Source organism: Homo sapiens, chromosome 2 (assembly GCF_000001405.40).
Source record: "Homo sapiens chromosome 2, GRCh38.p14 Primary Assembly".
Lineage (NCBI taxonomy): Eukaryota > Metazoa > Chordata > Mammalia > Primates > Hominidae > Homo > Homo sapiens.
In genome coordinates, this window is record NC_000002.12 from 227,633,321 (window position 1) to 227,635,046 (window position 1,726).

Sequence of the window (1,726 nt, forward strand, 5' to 3'; positions counted from 1 at the left end):
GGGATATAGTACGCTAAGAATTTAAAACTAGTTAAACAATTCTAAAATTAAACCAAATTTTCAAAATACTCTGCAACTAGAAAACATTCAACATTATTTGAGATAAATATGGCTTAGCAAGTCACTTTTAAAATCAGATGTATCAGGCCGGTCACTGTGGCTCAGGCCTGTAATCCCAGCACTTTGGGAGGCTGAGGCAGGCAGATCACTTGAGGTCAGGAGTTTGAAACCAGCTTGGTCAACATGGTGAAACCCTGTCTCTACCAAAAAATACAAAAATTGGCTGGGTGTGGTGGCACATGCCTGTAGTCCCAGCTACTCAGAAGGCTAAGGCAGGAGAATCGCTTGAACCTGGGAGACAAAGGCTGCAGTGAGCTGAGATCGTGTCACTGCACTCCAGCCTGGGAGACAGAGGGAGACTCTGTTTCAAAAAAAAAAAAAAAAAAATTAAGCTTATCAATAAGTGAAAACAGGTCAGCATGAAGAATTTTTTACTTATTTAAAGATTTAATCACTGGATTATTTATTGAGTTAGCAATTTCAGAGTCTAATCAGTGAATATTTCTCTGCAAAATCCACAAATTATTTCCTTTCATAGTTCATTCAATCTGGTAATTAATTCATTTTAAATAATTGTACTGGGATGTTAAATTTAGTCAGTCAAGACTGACATATATAGTTAAAGTTCTTCCATGCAATTTAGCTAAAACATTTGTAATGTGAATCTATTTACAAAATGAACCAAATGAAAAATGTTAACTATTTTTATGTCCCTTCCAAAATTCTTTACATAAAAAAACAAATACAAGCATTTTAAAACGATGTGATTCAACAAAAGGCATTATTTCCATGCAAGATACTACCAACTAAACATAGCAAAACCCATAAATGACCTTAGGTCCCACGTAGTGAATATGACAGGTGGTTCAAATGGGACTTGTAATTTCAGGTCTTTCTTGTTCAGCTAACAGTTTTTCCCTTGAACAAATGTGGAACTACATTGATGCTTTTAAAACTTAGATGAAATCAAATGGCAGATTTCCTTTTAGTATGCAAATTATTTCATGTTGGAATCTTGATTTAATCCGTTCAGATGCCTAAGCAGCTTGACAGTGATTTATTTGGTTTTGGATAAGACCTCTACATGTGATGGATTAGAAAAAAACACAGTTCTGACGGTGGGCTGAGAGTGGCTTTGAATCCTAAGATTTTTAGTCCAAACCCCCAAATTATTTCCAAGATACCTGAAATTACATGTAATCATACTATTTCAAATCTTATCTTGAAGCTCCGGCTGGGTTATTTCACAGTGGCCTTCACTTGGTCGCTGTGGAGACATTGAGCTACCACGCAGAGAACATTGCCTAGGACTAGCAAGTTCTTAGAAAAGTAATTGTTGTATTTATATTCTTCCATTGGGCATTTGGCAGTAAGTACAGATGAGCCTCTGGGGGATTGTCTGTAATTTAAAAAATAGAACTACCTTGAAGTTTTATTCAATCATTTATATATCGTGTATTACGGAAGTATGAGATTAGCATTTCCCAATTTACTCTATAACTTAAAGGAAAGTAATGGGAACATTTACTAAAGCATAAAAAAATTAGGTTGTGCCTGTATAACAATGAAATTGTTAAATTAAAAAAATTTCAGGCTGGGCTCGGTGGCTCATGCCTGTAATCCCAGCACTTTGGGAGGCCGAGGCGGGCAGATCACGAGGTCAAGA